The 17,410-nt window shown below is 38.3% G+C and overlaps 1 protein-coding gene across 41 annotated transcripts in view; it reads left to right on the plus strand.

Moving 5' to 3' along the window:
* PIKFYVE (phosphoinositide kinase, FYVE-type zinc finger containing) overlaps positions 1-17,410 on the plus strand; it is a 92,691-nt gene that overhangs the window by 6,524 nt on the left and 68,757 nt on the right. For 11 of the 41 annotated variants that reach the window (XM_047443667.1, XM_047443672.1, NM_015040.4 and 8 more), the window contains exons 3-7: positions 1,005-1,154; positions 4,133-4,251; positions 4,958-5,129; positions 13,147-13,354; positions 16,150-16,239. In XM_047443667.1, coding sequence (XP_047299623.1) covers positions 1,005-1,154; positions 4,133-4,251; positions 4,958-5,129; positions 13,147-13,354; positions 16,150-16,239 — 739 coding nt within the window. Of the gene's footprint in view, positions 1-1,004; positions 1,155-1,438; positions 1,475-4,132; positions 4,252-4,957; positions 5,130-13,146; positions 13,355-16,149; positions 16,240-17,410 lie in introns of those variants that run through there. The other 30 variants (XM_047443674.1, XM_011510788.2, XM_047443681.1 and 27 more) reach the window with 8 other exon arrangements.

A 17,410-nucleotide genomic window follows, 5' to 3' on the forward strand; every position in this document is an offset into this window, starting at 1 on the left:
GAATTAAAAAACATGGCCTATATCTTTTGTCTTTTGTTTGTCTGTATTACTTGAAGTATGTTAGAAAGTAATTCTTGTTGTTGTATAGAATTTGGAGAGGTTAATAGTGTTAATTAACTCAGTAGAACCTTTAATAATATTAACTGAATTTTATTTATGATCATGTTTAAAGTGCTATGAAAACCCTTTAGTACATTTTTAAGACAATGATACTTAAAAAAAAAAACTATTTTTTAGAAGAGTTTTAGATTTACAGAAAAATTGGGAAGATAGAATTTCCGTATACTCCCATACCCAGTTTTCCTCATATTAACATTTTACATTAGTCTGGTACATTTGTTACAATTAATGAACTGTTATTGATAGATTATTAACTAAATTACGTATTTTATTTAGATTTCTTGAGTTTTTACCAGTTGTTCTTTTTATATTCTAGGATCCCATTTGTCATACCACATTACACTTAGTTGTCATAAGACAATAAAATTTCTATTTAGCAAATGTTTATTGGGTACCTCCTTTGTACTGGGAACTGTTTTGATAGTGTAAGGGATCTGTCCAGTAAACAGACCCAAAAAATCCCTGCCTTCATATGAAGCTTGCATTTTGTTTCCTTTAGTATGCTCAAGAAATTTCTAATGAAAAGTGAAACAAATAGGAGATCATATATACCAAGGGTGTGATTATTGGCCTGTAATTTTGCCTCCTTCTTTGAATTTTCTTTTTTTAAAATCTAGGCTGGGCACAGTGGCCTGTGCCTGTAATTTCAGCACTTTGGAAGGCTGAGGTGGGAGGATTGCTTGAGGCCAGGAGTTCAGTACCAGCCTGGGCAACATAGGGAGAACCTGCTTGTATTTAAAATTAAATAAATGAAAAAGGAAAAAAAAAATTTTTAGTTACGCATATAATACATGCATACATTGTTGCCTGAAAATTTTCATCTACTTCCTTCTCATTGCTGAACTCTCAGTCTTTAAATAATGCCAAGCGTTCCCTTGCTACAGAGAGAGCAGAAGGAGGCCAGGGAGAACAGCAGCCTTTGAGTGGAAGTTGGACCAGCCCTCAGCTCCCTTCGAGGACACAGTCTGTTAGGTCACCCACACCTTATAAAAAGCAGCTTAATGAGGAACTCCAGCGGCGCTCTTCAGCATTAGGTAAAACAGTGTTCTTATTTCATTCCCTTCTATATGCTAGATTTTTCCACAGTCATTGTGTTTCCTAGGTTGTTTATAGCAGGACTTAACTTTCCTGCTATTTGGAATAGTAAGATACTATTTGAAATAGTCAGGTACTGTTTAGAGTAAATAAAACTCTTACCTCGGTAGTGAAAGAATTTATTGACACCTGAAAAAATTCTTAAACGTCTCATTAAACTTTAATTTAGGCAAGGCACAGATTTCTTGACTATTTTTTGATTAATTACTTGCTTGGGTTTCAGCAGACAACAGTTTGCAACATCCCCAGGAGAACACAGGTTAGTTTCCACTTTGTGAATGAATTCTGCATCTGTTCTTGGGGTGCTAGTGAAATGTGATATGCATGCCTCTGGCTGCAGAACTCTGTCAACTCCATTATTGGGCTGCCACTTGCTCTTGGCCTTCTGTCCTTGTTGGGGTGCAAACTGTCAGTGTGGCTGAATAAGCTGAGCTCCTCTCATCTGTCTGTTTTCCATTCTGGTCTACTACACAGTCATCTCCTTCATTTTCATGCTCTTCTGATGAGTATGGGCTGGGGATTGGTGTCAGAATTGAGAGATTAGAAAAAGAGAGGTGGTTTATGTTTTATTTCTGTCAGATTTTTCAACTTGGAGTGGTTTGCCTAAGTCAAGGTGACAAAGGAAGTGGGAGGTGGCATGATAGAGGGGAAGGGATGCAGCATTGGGAATTAGATGCCCCAGAACACCAGATCTCGTCTGGTGTGGCTGATCTTCCCCCAGATAGTGGTGGTTGGCAGAAGGATATTTTATTGTGAGTTCAGACTTGGTCAGCCAGAACAAAGAGAAACTGAGCAAAAGTAGAGTTTCTACCCGAGGACTGGCACAGAGCTGGCTGCATCACCTGCACAGGTTTTCTAGGGCAGTGAGCCTCAGCCAGGGTTACATCAGCCATTTGGAGGGAAGAATCAGAAGATGGGGAGTGGGAGAGGGAGAAAGAAAGGAGCTCTCCTTTTATTCCAGATAATCTCTATTTTAACTTTTAACCTCAATAAACTCTCCTTAGCTCTTGAATCTGACTCACAACAACACTCTTTTTGTTGAGGGAGCTGTTTTGACTAAATCCCATGCTGAATTGAGTGTAGGATTTTTTTATTTCTAAAATCAAGTTAGACTAAAATGTAATATTTTAGGAGTTACAAATTGGCAGCCTGCCAAACCTTGCCATTGGTATTATGATCAACTTGAACTTTAATATCTCCAGGTGGAGCCTTTACTGTCTAGTTTCCTTACTGTCCTTCTCAAGTCTGCTTGATTATTTGATTCTATCTTGAAGGCATTTGAGCTTCAGAAGCCTGGTGTTATTTGGCCAGTCAAGTTCTTTTCCCTATTAAAAGGGCTGTAATTCTATAATTTACTAGCTTTCCGACCTTAGGAAAGTTATTTAATTTTCTAATGTTCATTTTGCAAGAGAAGCAGCTAAGGCTATTTGCCTAAGGGCATAGAGCTAGACCAGATTTTCTCTCTGGGTTTCTTTCATCTTCAGCCAACATCTGTGATTCTCTTGGTTCCAAGAAGGGTCTCACTCATCCTTTTTCAGCGGATGATGCTATTACTACTTTCTTATATTCCTAATTGGCTAAATGCCAGGGACTTCACAAGTTTTTGCCTGCTGCACGGAAGCACAGCCATTATGTTTCCAGTAGCTTCATCTGTCTTCTTTTTCAATTTGTAGATCATGGGGAGTTGTTTTTTGTTTTGAGACTCAAGTTTAGTTATTCTAATACAGTAGCAACACATCTGAGGTATGTGCTAAAATTAAGATATAACTTTATAGAAAGATAAAAGTTGCCAAAGTTTTCTAAAATAGGTACAATTTTGGTAGTTACTTCAGTGATTACATTATCTTGGGAAATTCTTTGTAAACTTTAGATCCCAACCTCTCATTTCTTTGTAATTCTTTTTTTTCCCTCCCAGCCAAAACAGCACCTATCTAGCAAATGGTGAGTTTGAGGAAGATTCAGAGTGGGGTATTTTCCAGTTTACTTTGCCATAGGTTATCAGTTTGATGGGTTTAAGCTAATAGGATGTTCATCCTTTTTGTCAAAACGTCTTTGCTTCATGCTTAGGTTTTGTAACTGCCAGAAATAGGCAGAAACTTCAGTTGTAATTTTGGTCTAAATTAAGGAAATAATAAGTGACAACTTTGGTGGGCATACCCTATTTTGGCCATGAGGCTGGAATTTGGGCTTATTAGTGATAGATTTGGCTTCAGTATTGCTATGTCAGGTATAAATGATCCTTTCCTATTTGGAGCTGTGGGGTTGGGGAAGTGACAGGGAAGGATAGGATTGGAGTTTTAGCAATTTTCTGGCAGTTTTAATTTGCTTGGACATAGGTCAGGTTTTACCATGGCAAAATTTGCCATCCTGGATGTTGTGAAGTCTGTCAGAATCTTTGAAGGCTGGGCTATTAAACTTCTTTCTGATCATCTTCTGTATGAGACTTTGGATATATGGTCTACAGATATAGACAGAACTGAACTGTTTGATCCTATTGCTTACCTGTTTGACTTTAGAGACCAAGCTAAGTTAACCCTCCTTGATTGCTTTTTCTTCTGCTAAATTTCTAGCATGCATTTATTATAGGTTGGACCAAAGGGCTTAAGGAGTCATTAATGAATTTTGGACCATTTAAGTGATGTTCCCATTCCAGGCCTGAAAACCATCAATGGTCTCAGACAATGCTTGTCTTAGGCAGCCTTGACTCGCTTGTAAAACAGCATTTTACATGAGAAGAAATACTTTCAGTAGCCTCTTACCCTTATAAAGACTTGTTTTAACTCTCAATTCATATAACCGGGTGGGAGAACATAATTATATGCCAACAATAAGAGGCAGTTTCCATCACATATATACCTTGTTGTATATAGATACTAGGGACTGTTAACAAGGTTGCTTTTTTTTTAATCCAACTCAGACACAAGAAGGAAAGCAGAACCTACCTTTGGAGGTCATGACCCTCGTACAGCTGTTCAGCTTCGAAGCCTCAGCACAGTATTAAAACGCCTCAAGGAAATCATGGAGGGGAAAAGCCAGGTACTGTCTAGAGGCTTTGGAAGATTACTTATTAAGCGCTTATGGGGATCATGCCATACCTAATGAAAATGGCTTAATGCCACTGAAAGAAAGCTTAATTAGCGCTTCCTCCAGCTGTGAGCACCCTATTTTTATACATAAGTTCTTAATTTTATTGTAGTCTAATTTATCAGTTTTTTTCCCGTTATCCTTAGTGCTTTTCGCGTTCTGTTTAAGAAGTGTTTATCTAGTTCAGGGCAGTAGATATTCTCCTATGGTTTCTTCAAGAAGCTTTATTATTTCTGTCAAGTATAGGGGTCAGGCTTCCATTTTTCCTCATGGATGTCCAGTTGGATATAGTACCATTGTTTTTGAAAAGACCATCTTTCACTGATTGCATTATAAATTCCACCGTAAGTCCATATATGTGTGAGGGTGTGTCAGGGCTCTCTTTTTCTGTTCCATACCTTTATTTTTTTCTATCCTTGTACCAGTACCCTGTCTAAAATTATTGTAGCATTAAGAATAAGTCTTGATGGCTGGTAATATTAAGTCCTTCAATTTGTTCTTCTTCAAGATTGTCTTGGTTATTTTGACCTTTCGTATTCCCATATGAATTTTTGAATTAGTTTGTTTTCTGCAAAAGAAACCTTTGAGGATTTCATTTGCCATTGCATATTAATAATCAGTATTTTCAAGAAGCCTTCACACATTTTTATTGTTATAGGATAGTGACCTGAAACAATACTGGATGCCAGATAGCCAATGTAAAGAGTGCTATGACTGTAGTGAGAAATTTACAACCTTTAGGCGCAGACACCATTGCCGACTATGTGGGCAGATTTTCTGCAGTCGTTGCTGTAATCAAGAAATCCCTGGAAAATTTATGGGCTATACAGGTAAATGCATTTTATTGCCAGTTTACAATTTTTAAAGGTCATAACTATAAGACACTTATAATACAGGATAGTGTTAAGCCAATTTTCATTTTGGGTTTTATGTGTAAGACATGGGGACACAAAGGTGAGGGAGACAGCTTTGCTTTTAAGAACTTTCCTATTGAATAATACAGTAGATGGGACTTATCATAAATAACTAGAGTAAAAGTGTATTTATTGTAGATGCTAGCAAAAAACTATAGGAACATTAAAATTTATTAGACAAGATCGTTAGAGTAGATTACTAATTTAAATCACTATGAGAGTTTTCATTTTAAAAGGACAGATCTTCCTTGACGTAATTACATGACACTGTGCTTTGGCAGTGAATTGTGTCTTACTCAGATTCCTCCATAAGGAACATAGTCAAATTTCAGCAGTACAGAAAATTTAAGTTATTTCTTGAAACAGAAAAAACTGAACAATGGTATGTTGATTTATACAGTGATTTGGGAGTAGAAGATAGTCAGAAATTACCTGAAAAACAAAACTCCTAACATCTCTCTCATGTTATTTTTGTTATTGTGAAGATCTTTCTGTCTGCTCATTTTTTTTTCCACCTAAACTACTACAGAGTTCAGAATCCCATTATCTGTCACCCAGAACCCCATTAGCTTTTACAACAGCTTTTTTGTTTGAAAATTACTTGTATTTCTTTTTTTTTTTGGTAATAATTTCAACTTTTATTTTAGATTCATGTTTGTTACAGGGGTATATTTAGTGATGCTGAGATTTTGCATATGACTGATCCTGTCACCCAGGTAGTGAGTATGGTATCCAGTAGTTAGTTTTTCAAACCTTGCTCCTCTTCCTCCCTCCCTGCTCTAGTAGTCCCCTTGTCTATTGTTGCCATCTTTATGTCCTCATGTACTCAGTGTTTAGCTCCCACTTGTAAGTGAGAGCTTGCGGCATTTGGTTTTCTGTTCTGTGTTAATTTACTTAGGATAATGGCCTCCAGCTGCATCCATATTGCTGCAAAGGACATAATTTTGTTCTTTTTTTATGGCTGCATAGTATTCCATGGTGTATATGTACCACATTTTCTTTATCCATTTCACCATTGGTGGCACCCAGGTTGATTCTGTATTTGCTATTATAAAAAGTGTTACAATGAACATACGAGTACATGTGCCTTTTGATAGAATGATTTATTTTCCTTTGGATATATACCCAGTAGTGGGATTCCTGAATCAAATGGTAGCAGTTCTGTTTTAAGCTCTTTGAGAAATCTTCAAACCGTCTTCCACAGTGGCTGAACTAATTTACATTCCCATCAGCAGTGTATAAGCATTCTCTTTTCTCTGCAGCTTTACCAGCATTCGTTTTTTGGCTTTTTAATAACAGCCATTCTGATTGGTGTGAGATGGTATCTTATTGTGGTTTTGATTTGCATTTCACTAATGATCATTGATGTGGAACATTTTTTCATGTTTGTTGGCCACTTGTAGGTCTTTTTTTGAGAAGTGTCTGTTCATGTCTTTTGCCCAATTTTTAATGGGGTCATTTGTTTTTTACTTGTTGAATTACGTTTCTTATATATTGTGGATATTAGATCTTTGTCAGATGCATAGTTTGCAAGTATTTTCTCCTATTCTGTGGCTTGTTTGTTTACTCTGTTGATAGTATCTTTTGCCATGCAGAAGCACTTTAGTTTAATTAGGTCCCACATGTCAATTTTTGTTTTTGTTGCAGTTGCTTTTGAGGACTTAGTCATAAATTGTTTCCCAAGGCTGATGTCCAGAATCATGCTTCATAGGTTTTCTTCTAGGACTTTCATAGTTTGAGGTCTTATATTTAAATCTTTAATCCATCTTGAATTAATTTTCGTATATGATGAAACATAGGGGCCAGTTTTATTCTTTTGCATATGGCTAGCCAGCTATTCCAGTGCCATTTATTGAATAGAGAGTCCTTTCCCTGTTGTTCATTTTTGTTGACTTTGTTGAAGATCAAATGTCTGTAAGTGTGTGATTTTATTTCTGGTTTCTTTGTTCTGTTCCATTGGCTTATGTGCCTGTTTTTGTACCAGTACCACTGCTGTTTTTGTTACTGTAGCCTATTCCTATGAAACTACCAATGTCGTTTTTCATAGAATTAGAAAAAACTATTCAAAAATTCATATAGAACCAAAAAAGAGCCTGAATAGCCAAAACAATCCTAAGCAAAAAGAACAAGGCAGGAGGCATCACATTTCCTGACTTCAAATTGTAATCTAAGGCTACAGTGACAAGATTACAGCTTTTAAAATACATTTTTTTTACCTTTAGTTTCTCCCTACCTCTAATTCATATTTCATATCCTAGTCAGCATTCTTTGTAAAATGATAATTTGATCATGTCAGGGTATTTTCCTGCATAATACTCTTTCAGAGCTCCCATTACCCTCAGGATAAAACCTTTCTTGTTAATATGGTCGGTATGTTAGCTTCCTAGGTCTGCCATAACACAGTACCACAGGCTGTGTGTCTTGGAACAACAGAAATGTATGTCTCATAGTTCTGGAGGCCAGAAGTACCAAAATACAGATCAGGGAACAAATATAGGGATTCTGCTGGTTGTCTATTCTAACTGTATGTTCTAGAACTGGGGAAATAACCATAGAGTGAGTTTGGGGACTCACTAAACTCACAGTGAGATGGACCTGAGCTAAAGCTTCACTGATCACCTGACCTCTGTAAGTCCCTACTCTGACAGGCAGACCAGAGTGATGTTTTGGGTCTCCTGGAATTAGTGTCAGTTGAGAGTAGGTGTCTAATAACCCCTGACAAATATGATCATTTCCTTCTCCTCAGTGTCCAGTCGCCTTGGTAAAAGCATAGGTCTCTTTGGGGATGGCTGGTAGAAAGATTAACGGTGTACATTTCTGGCAGTGTAGTGGGGTTCTTCTTCAGAATGACCAATCCCCTCTTCATTCAAGGAGTTCTGGATCATCTGTAAGTGGCTCAAGTCTGGGAATTGAGTGAAGGATCGTATGACTCTGTTTTCATGATTCAAGTTGGACTTACAGCTACTTGATATGGAGTTGTTTCCCTTATACAAATCAAGTAAGAATTTTGTTGACTGCCCATCTACTTCACTTGTGGAGACATTATGATCAACTAGCCAATGCCATACATCTCTTAGGCTATTCTGATTATTGCTTTGATTCTGATGTCTATTATAGTAACCATGCCCACCTTGTCTTTGGCGACTAAAGTGCTGCCTATTGGCCCCTGCCACCCTGGGATCCAGTGATCCCCATTGCATTTAGGTTTCCTGACCCAGTAGCAGTAGTTCCTGCTGTAATTTCTGATCTACAAAGAAGAGCAACCACAAAGCTCTTTAAGGATTCGGGGCCTCCCCTCACAAATTTATTTCTCATAGTCGTGGTTGAAAGGTTATGTCCTTCTTGGGTGAGTCAGCAAGTCTTACATGGTAAAACTACTTTTAACATTTCAATCTCCCCTAACCTTTGGATGCCTTCTTCTATAATATAATAGGGCATTTCTGATATTTCAACCCCATTTAGTGTAAGCCACCTTTTGGTCTATGTTTCAGCCAGTCATCTAAACAGACTGTTGGAGACCCTTTTAACCCCTTGAGCTGCAACAATAAATATAGAATCTGCTTAGTGGGCCCATGTCAGTAAATTCAGCTTGATCCAACTTTATATTCTTTCCACTATTATCCCATACCTTCATTATCCATTCCCACATGTATTTCCTTGGTTTTTATCTGTATAAATTGGAAAAATCATGTAGTTCTTCTGGAGTGTAGTGCACCTTCTCATGGGTCACAGTTTGTATCTCACCTTTCAGGGCCTACCTGAGCTTGAGTTCCTTTATAGGTCTGGTAGCAAAGAGGAGTAGTAGGAGTAGATCCTGAGTAAAATTAGCAGTGTCTTGCAAGGCAGCTAACTCAGGGGAGGTCATTACAGCCTGTCTGATCAAAGCCAGGTTAATCTCCTCAAATGAGGTGGAAAGACTGCTGCTGCTGGCAAAGAAGACTCAGAATTTTGGTGTTTAACATCCCCAGCTCCATCAGGATCTTCTTACATATTTCCATTCCTTCCCAATCAACACCCTCACTTTAATAGCAGACAAACTTCAAGGTTGGTGATTCAGTTTGTGTTTCAGTTCAGTCACTTGCAGGATGAGAGTGTTGTTCTGATTTTTAACAATCTTAGCACTGAACCTGCAGGAGATAAGGATTTCTTTCAAGGAAGACCTAGAAACTTTCAGATAATTTATACAGTTCTTGAGCTGGGAATTTGAATCCCTAAGGTTATCCATTTCTTTTTTTACTTTTGTCTAATGCAATTAGGAGGAACCAGCCCATGTCATTATAGTTGTTAGCTTGACAAAACCATTCTAAGATATTAAATACTTGGTCACTCAGAACTTTGCCTTTTATAAGTATTAATATTTGATTAGGAGTATCTGTAGGTGATATTTTGCATGTCTTTGTTGCCACATTACACAATGGACTATCAGTGTTCTCTTTACTACTGGAAATAGAGTCATTAGTGCCTTTAAATCTAATCAGCTTAGAGAACCAATTCCAGAAATGTAAGAACCAATTCAGAAAACTTACCCTTAAGATTCTGTTGCTCTAAAGCCATTCTTGGTACCAAAATATGTATTAAGGTTCTCCAGAGAAACAGAACCAGTAGGATACACAAACACACATTTATATAGAGAGAAATTTATGTTTAACAATTGGTCAAGTTATTTTGAGGACTGGCAAGTCTGAAATTCTCAGGGCAGGCCAGTAGGCTGGAAACTCCTACAGGATTTCTGTCTTGCAGTGTTGAGACAGAATTTCTTTTTCTTCAGAAAACTTTAGTCTTTGTCCTTAAGGACTTCAACTGATTAGATGAGACCCACTCACATTCTAGAGGACAATCTGCTTTACTTAAAGTCAGCTGATTGTAAATATTAATCACATCCAAAAAAAATAACCTTCACAGCATCTCAGCTTGACCAAATAACTAATCTAGCCAAGTTGACGCATAAGGTTAATCACAAATGGGATAATATAGTGGTCTCCAACCTTTTTGGCACCAGGGACCGGTTTTGTGGCAGACAGTTTTTCCATGGACTGGTGTGGGGGACGGGGGATGGTTTTAGGACGAAACTATTCCACCTTAGGTAATCAGGCATTAGATTCTCGTAAGGAACGTGCAATCTAGATCCCTCACATGCGCAGTTCACCATAGGGTTCACGCTTCTATAAGAATCTAATGCCACCGCTGATCTGACAGGAGGTGGAGCTCAGGAGGTAATGCCCGTTTGTGTATGGCTTGTGTGCTGCTTGCTCGCCACTCACCTCCTGCTGTGCGGCTCGGTTCCTAACAGGCTACGGACGGGGAGTAGTACATGTCCCTGGGATTGGGGACCCCTGGGGTAATATATGCTAGGCACAGTTATACATTGTGACCCTGAATAAATACAAATAACTAGAAAAATGTCTAGTACATGGAAAGGGATCAATGAACAGTAAACTATTGTTATTGATGGTAATAGCAATAGTATCTGCATCTGTCATGCAGCTTTTTGGTTATATGTGTGTTGCCTCCAGTGGCCTATGAGTTTTTTGATGGCAGGGCTGTATCTCATCAATCTTTGTATTCCCATCACACCATATAGGCATGCGCTTAATAGGCTCTTGCTGATGAACTTTCTTCATGAAATGAAAACTTTTATGATTAGGCTTGGCTCTGTTTATTGATTTTACAATTTTAGTTCTAATAGCTGACTGGTTAGGCGAGATTTCCTTTATAGTGTAAGAAACAAATGAAGTCTTTGTTGTAGTAAATTGAAAGTCTTTCTGCAGGGAGTAATTTCACTTCTTTTGTTTTTTTTTTTGGAGACTGAGTCTTGCTCTGTTGCCCAGGCTGGAGTGCAGTGGCACGACCACAGCTCAGCTCACTGCAGCCTCAGCTTCCTGGGCTCAAGCAATCCTCCTACCTCTCCGCCTCCCAAGTAGCTTGGACTACAGGGTGCATGCCACCATGCCCTGGCTAGTTTTGTATTTTTTATTGATGTGGGGTCTCACCATGTAGCCTAGGCTGGTCTCAAACTCCTGTGCTCAAGCAGTCCGCCTGCCTTGGCCTCCCAAAGTGTTGGGATTACGGGTGTGCACCACCATGCCTGGCCTACATGCATAATTTAATAAAACTGAGTACTGTGTAATAGTAGTCTTAAAATGAAAAAGTAAAAGGCCATTTTGGTAGTGATTATGGTAAAAACATAATACAGTTAACTTTTAGAAGTCTTTTATTTTGTATCACTTCAGTTTTCTAATATTAGTGGGAAAATTTTAGGTGGAATTATTAAACAACATGTTATTAGTAAGGTTTAATTATTTTACCTCCTTTTTTAATACCTAAAATGTTACAGAATCACTCAAAACAATGTTATAGAAAAATAGAGTAGAAATGAAAACTTCTATTTGGACAGGACTGCACCCTCAAAAAATACATATTTAGAAATATTAACCTTGTTTGTCCTCTCAAGAATATTTCATTTCTATCCTTTTTTTTTTTTTTTTCCCAGACAGTTTCGCTTTTATTGCCCAGGCTGGAGTGCAGTGGCACAGTCTTGGCTCACTGCAACCTCTGCCTCCCAGGTTCAAGCGATTCTCCCACCGCAGCCTCCCGAGTAGCTGGGATTACAGGCACCCGCCGCCATGCCTGGCTAATTTTTGTATTTTTAGTAGAGACAGGGTTTCACCATGTTGGCCAGGCTGGTCTTGGACTACTGACCTCAGGTGATTTATCCGTCTCAGTCTCCCAAAGTGCTGGGATTACAGGCGTGAGCCACCGTGCCCGGCCTTAACTTTTTTTTATAATAATTCTTTTATAGTTTTTACTCTCATATATTATACTGCATGTAAGCCCATTTTCTGTTAGTTTGCTTTTGAAATTCTTTGGAGGGTACTCTTCAGGGCTTCACAATAAAGACCTTAATAATATTTTCCTCCTTAATTAATTTGCCTATGGAAAATATGTTGTTTCCATTTGTGTTGGTTTATTTATTCTATTAAAAAATGTTATTCCTTGAAACTCATGTCTCTGTTAGATTTCTTTTTTAAGATTTTATTTTATATATGTTTATATTTGTATAGAGACAGGGTCTCGGTATGTTGGCCAGGTTGTTCTTGAGCTCCTGCCCTCAAACAGTCCTCCCGCCCTCAAGCAGTCCTTCTGCCTTGGCCCCCCAAAGTGCTGGGATTACAGGTGTGAGCCAGTGTGCCTGTCCTAGATCCCTTATTTCACTTTTAAAACCTGGAAAAAAATACTCTTTTAAGCAAAATTTTCTGGTATCATTGGGATATACATTTTGTTTTGTTTTGTTTTGTTTTATTTTATTTATTTATTTATTTTGAGACGGAGTTTCGTTCTTGTTGCCCAGGCTGGAGTGCAATGGCACAGTCTTGGCTCACTGCAACCTCCGCCTCCCGGGTTCAAGCAATTCTCCTGCCTCACCCTCCTGAGTAGCTGGGATTACAGGTATGCGTTACCATGCCCGGCTAATTTTTGTATTTTTAGTAGAGATGGGGTTTCACCATGTTGGCCAGGCTAGTCTTGAACTCCTGACCTCAGGTGATCTGCCGCCTCGGCCTCCCAAAGTGTTGGGATTATAGGCGTGAGCCACCACGTCTGGCCTGGTATGTTACATTTTAAACTCATTATAAATGTTTATGGTAGTTTGGACACCTGGATGAATTTATCATAATGATGGCTCTTTTTTTTTCTTTTAACTTCTAACTTTTGATTTTTAGTGCCAGAATTCAAAATGGCCCTTAAATATATATAATAGAGCTAACAAAATTATTTCACTTTTTAAAATGTCTTTTTTTGAGAGTCTGTACTTGAAGACATTTCCGTTATTAGATGAACTGTTGACCCAAGGAGTTAAAAAAGTTACGTTAAGCAATATGTTACTGCTATCTTTTCCTTCAATTTCCTTGTTTTTGTTTTTGTTTTTTTCTCCTAGGAGACCTCCGAGCTTGCACATATTGTAGAAAAATAGCCTTAAGTTATGCTCATTCCACAGACAGTAATTCTATTGGGGAAGACTTGAATGCTCTTTCAGATTCTGCTTGCTCTGTGTCTGTGCTTGATCCAAGTGAACCCCGAACACCTGTTGGGAGTAGGAAAGCCAGCCGTAACATATTTTTAGAGGATGATTTGGCCTGGCAAAGGTATTGTCCCTTAAATATAATTTTATTTAGAGTTGAAAAATATCGATAGTTGTCTGACCTTTGAGTGCTTTCAGTTAACACTTACCCTCTTAGAATTATTTCCTGTCAGTTCACTGTGTTCTCCTTTTTCTTTGGCTTGCCTCCAGAATGTTTGCAGATGTTTATGGATAGTGATGATATTGGCTAATTAGAATGTAAGCTCCATGAGAGGAGACTTTACATCTTTCTTGTCACTGTTCTACCCCAGGCACCAAGAACAGCGCATGGCATGTATATAATCTTGATAATATTTGTTGAACAGGCAACAAATTGAGATTTTTAATTTAATTAATGAACAGAAGTCATTGAGATTATTAATTTCTAATGTAGCCTTCTGTGAGAAGAAGAATGCCTGTACAATATGTATTCATATTTCCAAGTGAAATTAGATTTTTTTTCCTTCTGAAGGTATATGTCATGTTTTTCTGTAAGTATACTGCACTGCTACTTCATGTTTTTTTGTAAGTATACTGCACTGCTTGGTAGTAGAGGGTGCTAACTCTTGGAAGTTACCTGGAATTGTTTGAATTAGAGTCTTAGTTTCATCAGTTTCTGATTTTTAAAAATTATTAGTTATTATTTTTGAGACGGCCTTGCTCTGTCACCCAGGCTGGAGTGTAGTGGCGTGATCATAGCTCAGGGCAGCCTCGAATCCCCTCTGCCTTAGCCTCCTGAGTAGCTGGGACAACAGGCGCACACCACTGTGCTTGGCTGATTTTTTTTTTTTTTTAAGAGATGGGGTCTTGCCATGTTGACCAGGCTGTCTTGAACTCCTGGCTTCAAGCGATCCTCCCACCTCAGCTTCCCAAAGTGCTGAGATTACAGGCATGAGCCACTCACTGCACCTGGCCTCTGATTATTTTCTTTAGCTGAATTATTTTGTTAAGCATAATACCAAATCTGGCCGTTACAAAGAGCCTATAGTTTTAAGTAACATCTCTCTGATAAGTTAATTTCTCAGTTAACCCTTAAGGAATTGAGAAATTAGTATGTAATGAATTTAAATAGAAGTAAAAAATGAATTAATTACAGCTACATTCAATATGTATGAATCTCAGGGACATAAAGTGGAGTAGAAAAGAAAATCATCTAATCATGTCACCGGGAAAATTTAATTAATATAAAATTTAAAAATTTAAAAATACACAAAACTACTACACTGTCTAGGGACTGAAATGTGGTAACACTTAAAGACGATAGATATGAAAGTTATAACAGTGGTTTCACTGAGGGAAGGGAAGGGATTAGGACTGGGTAGGGGAATTTCACAGTCAGTGGTAGTGTACTTTTTCTTTTTCTTTTTTTTTTTTTTTTGAGACAGAGTTTTTTTTGCTCTTGTTGCCCAGGTTGGAGTGCAATGGCACGATCTCGGCTCACTGCAACCTTCTTTTCCTGGGTTCAAGCGATTCTCCTGCCTCAACCTCCTGAGTAGCTGGACTTACAGGTGCCCACCACCATGCCTGGCTAATTTTTCTGTTTTTAGTAGGGACGGGGTTTCATCATGTTGGCCAGGCTGGTCTTGAACTCCTGACCTCAGGTGATCTACCCGCCTCGGCCTCCCAAAGGGCTGGGATTACAGGTGTGAGCCACCGCGCCTGGCCAGAGTTTCTTTTTCTTACATTAGTTTTTATTTATTTATTTATTTTGAGATGGAGTCTCGCTCTGTCACCCAGGCTGGAGTGCAGTGGCGTGATCTTGACTCACTGCAACCTCCGCCTCCCAGGTTCAAGTGATTCTTGTGTCTTAGCCTCCCAATTAGCTGGGATTACAGGTGTGTGCCACCATGCCCGGCTAAGTTTTGTATTTTCAGTAGAGATGGGTTTTGCCATGTTGGCCAGGCTGGTCTCGAATTCCTAGGCTCCAGTGATTTGCCCGCCTCCCAAAGTGGTGGCATTATAGGCATGAGCCACCATGCCCAGCCTTTTCTTACATTGCTTCATGAATACTTTGGTGTTTATGGCATTATGATTTTTTTATACCTTACATATATTTTATAAATTTTAAAAATTGATTCTATGTTTAATTAAACAATATGAAGTATAGAGTTTTTTTAGTTTTTGCTTACTTTAGTTAGTAATGCTTTTTAGTTGTGACAGGCCCTGTCGTAATGGGCAGATGTGATTTAACAAAACAAATCAGGTAAGAAAGCTCCCTGAGAGATGTACAATAGATGTCAAAGGTAGAATGATTGTTAAATTTTAGGTTCTGTGCTAATTGCTTAATGTTCATTCTCTTTTAGTCAGCATATCTCTGTGGTAGGCACTATTTTCTCCTTTTGACAGATGTGGATGCTGAGGTTTAGCGAGATTAAGTAATGAACCCAAGGTCATGTAGCTAGTAAGAGGTCGAGCCTGCACTTGGACCTAGGTTTGTCTGACTCTATGGTGCTATTCTAGTGGGTTATGGGGACTGAGAATAAAATATTTGAACTCAAGATTTCCCTCCAAAATCAATTTCATCTTGTATTAATAATGTTAGACGTTTCAAAGGCACCCATCCAACTAACTTTATTTACATTCCATATACTTAAAAACTTTTTAAAATTGTCATTTCGGCATTTTATATTCTTAAAAGCCATGCACTGCAAAAACTATCATTCATACCATTTACACCCTAATTAAAGGAAGAACAAAAATGACACATAATCTCATTATTGCAAGGAAAAAGATTAAATCTGCTTTTAATGTTAAAGCGCCTCATTGAAATTCCCTTTTACTGTCCTGAATTATTTCAGTATTTTCCTATTTTCTTTATAGTTTGATTCATCCAGATTCCTCAAATACTCCTCTTTCAACAAGACTTGTATCTGTGCAAGAGGATGCTGGGAAATCTCCTGCTCGAAATAGGTAAACTGACAAATGAAAACACTGTGCTCTCTGATGTTTATTTCTTTTCATGCTAATAAGAAGAACAAACGGATAAAAAGGGTGGGATTGATTGTCATATACTTCCGTAGCTCTAAAAGCTGAATTAAACTATCATTTTCTTTTTGCTATTCAGCCCTTGTTTCCATTCTCTCAGTGACTTTCCAGTATTCTCCAGTGGCTTCCGGGTTTGGAACCTACACCATCCTTTCTCTTCTGGTTAAATAAGACGTGAAGGATGTGAGGGAAGGAGCCATGTGGACATTTTGTGGAGGAGTGTCCCAAGAAAACAGGAATAACAAATTCCTGAGAGGAAATACACTTGGCAAGGAATAACAAGGAATCCTATGATAATGGAGTAGAGCAGTCTTAGAGTTAATTATAAGGACTCTGTCATTTACTCTGAGTGAGATGGGAAGCTGTTGGAGAGTTTTACATTTTTTGTCGTTAATTTTTAATTGCTTTGAAAAAATGTCAAACATGCAGAAAAGTTGCGAGAATAGAAAAATATATCTTCATGTATTTTTCATTAAGATTTACTAATTTATATTTTGTCCCTTTGCTTTCTCATTTTTTCTTTTTTTAATTTTTATTTATCTTATTATTATTTTTGAGACGGAGTCTCACTCTCTCGCCAGGCTGGAGTGCGGTGGTGTGATCTCAGCTCACTGCAAGCTCTGCCTCCTGGGTTCATGCCATTCTCCTGCCTCAGCTTCCTGAGTAGCTGGGACTACAGGCGCCCATCACCATGCCCAGCTAATTTTTTTGTATTTTTAGTAGAGACGGGGTTTCACCGTGTTAGCCAGGATGGTCTTGATCTCCTGACCTCATGATCCACCCACCTCGGCCTCCCAAAGTGTTGGGATTACAGGCATGAGCCACCGAGCCCAGCCTGTTATTTTTTAGTAAAATACAGAGATGGGGTTTCACTTTGTTGTTCAGGATGGTCTTGAACTTCTGACCTCAAGCGATCTTCCCACCTCGGACTCCTAAAGTGCTGAGATTACAGGTGTGAGCCACTGCATCTGGCCATCGTTTTTTATATTGTATATACATGTATGCATATTTTCTGAACCATCTGAGAGTAAGTTGCAGACATCATTATCCTTTATATATTTTTATTAAGTTTATTTTTTATAGCAGTTTTAAGGTT

The sequence above is a fragment of the Homo sapiens genome, chromosome 2 (genome assembly GCF_000001405.40).
Source record: "Homo sapiens chromosome 2, GRCh38.p14 Primary Assembly".
Classification (NCBI taxonomy): Eukaryota; Metazoa; Chordata; class Mammalia; order Primates; family Hominidae; genus Homo; species Homo sapiens.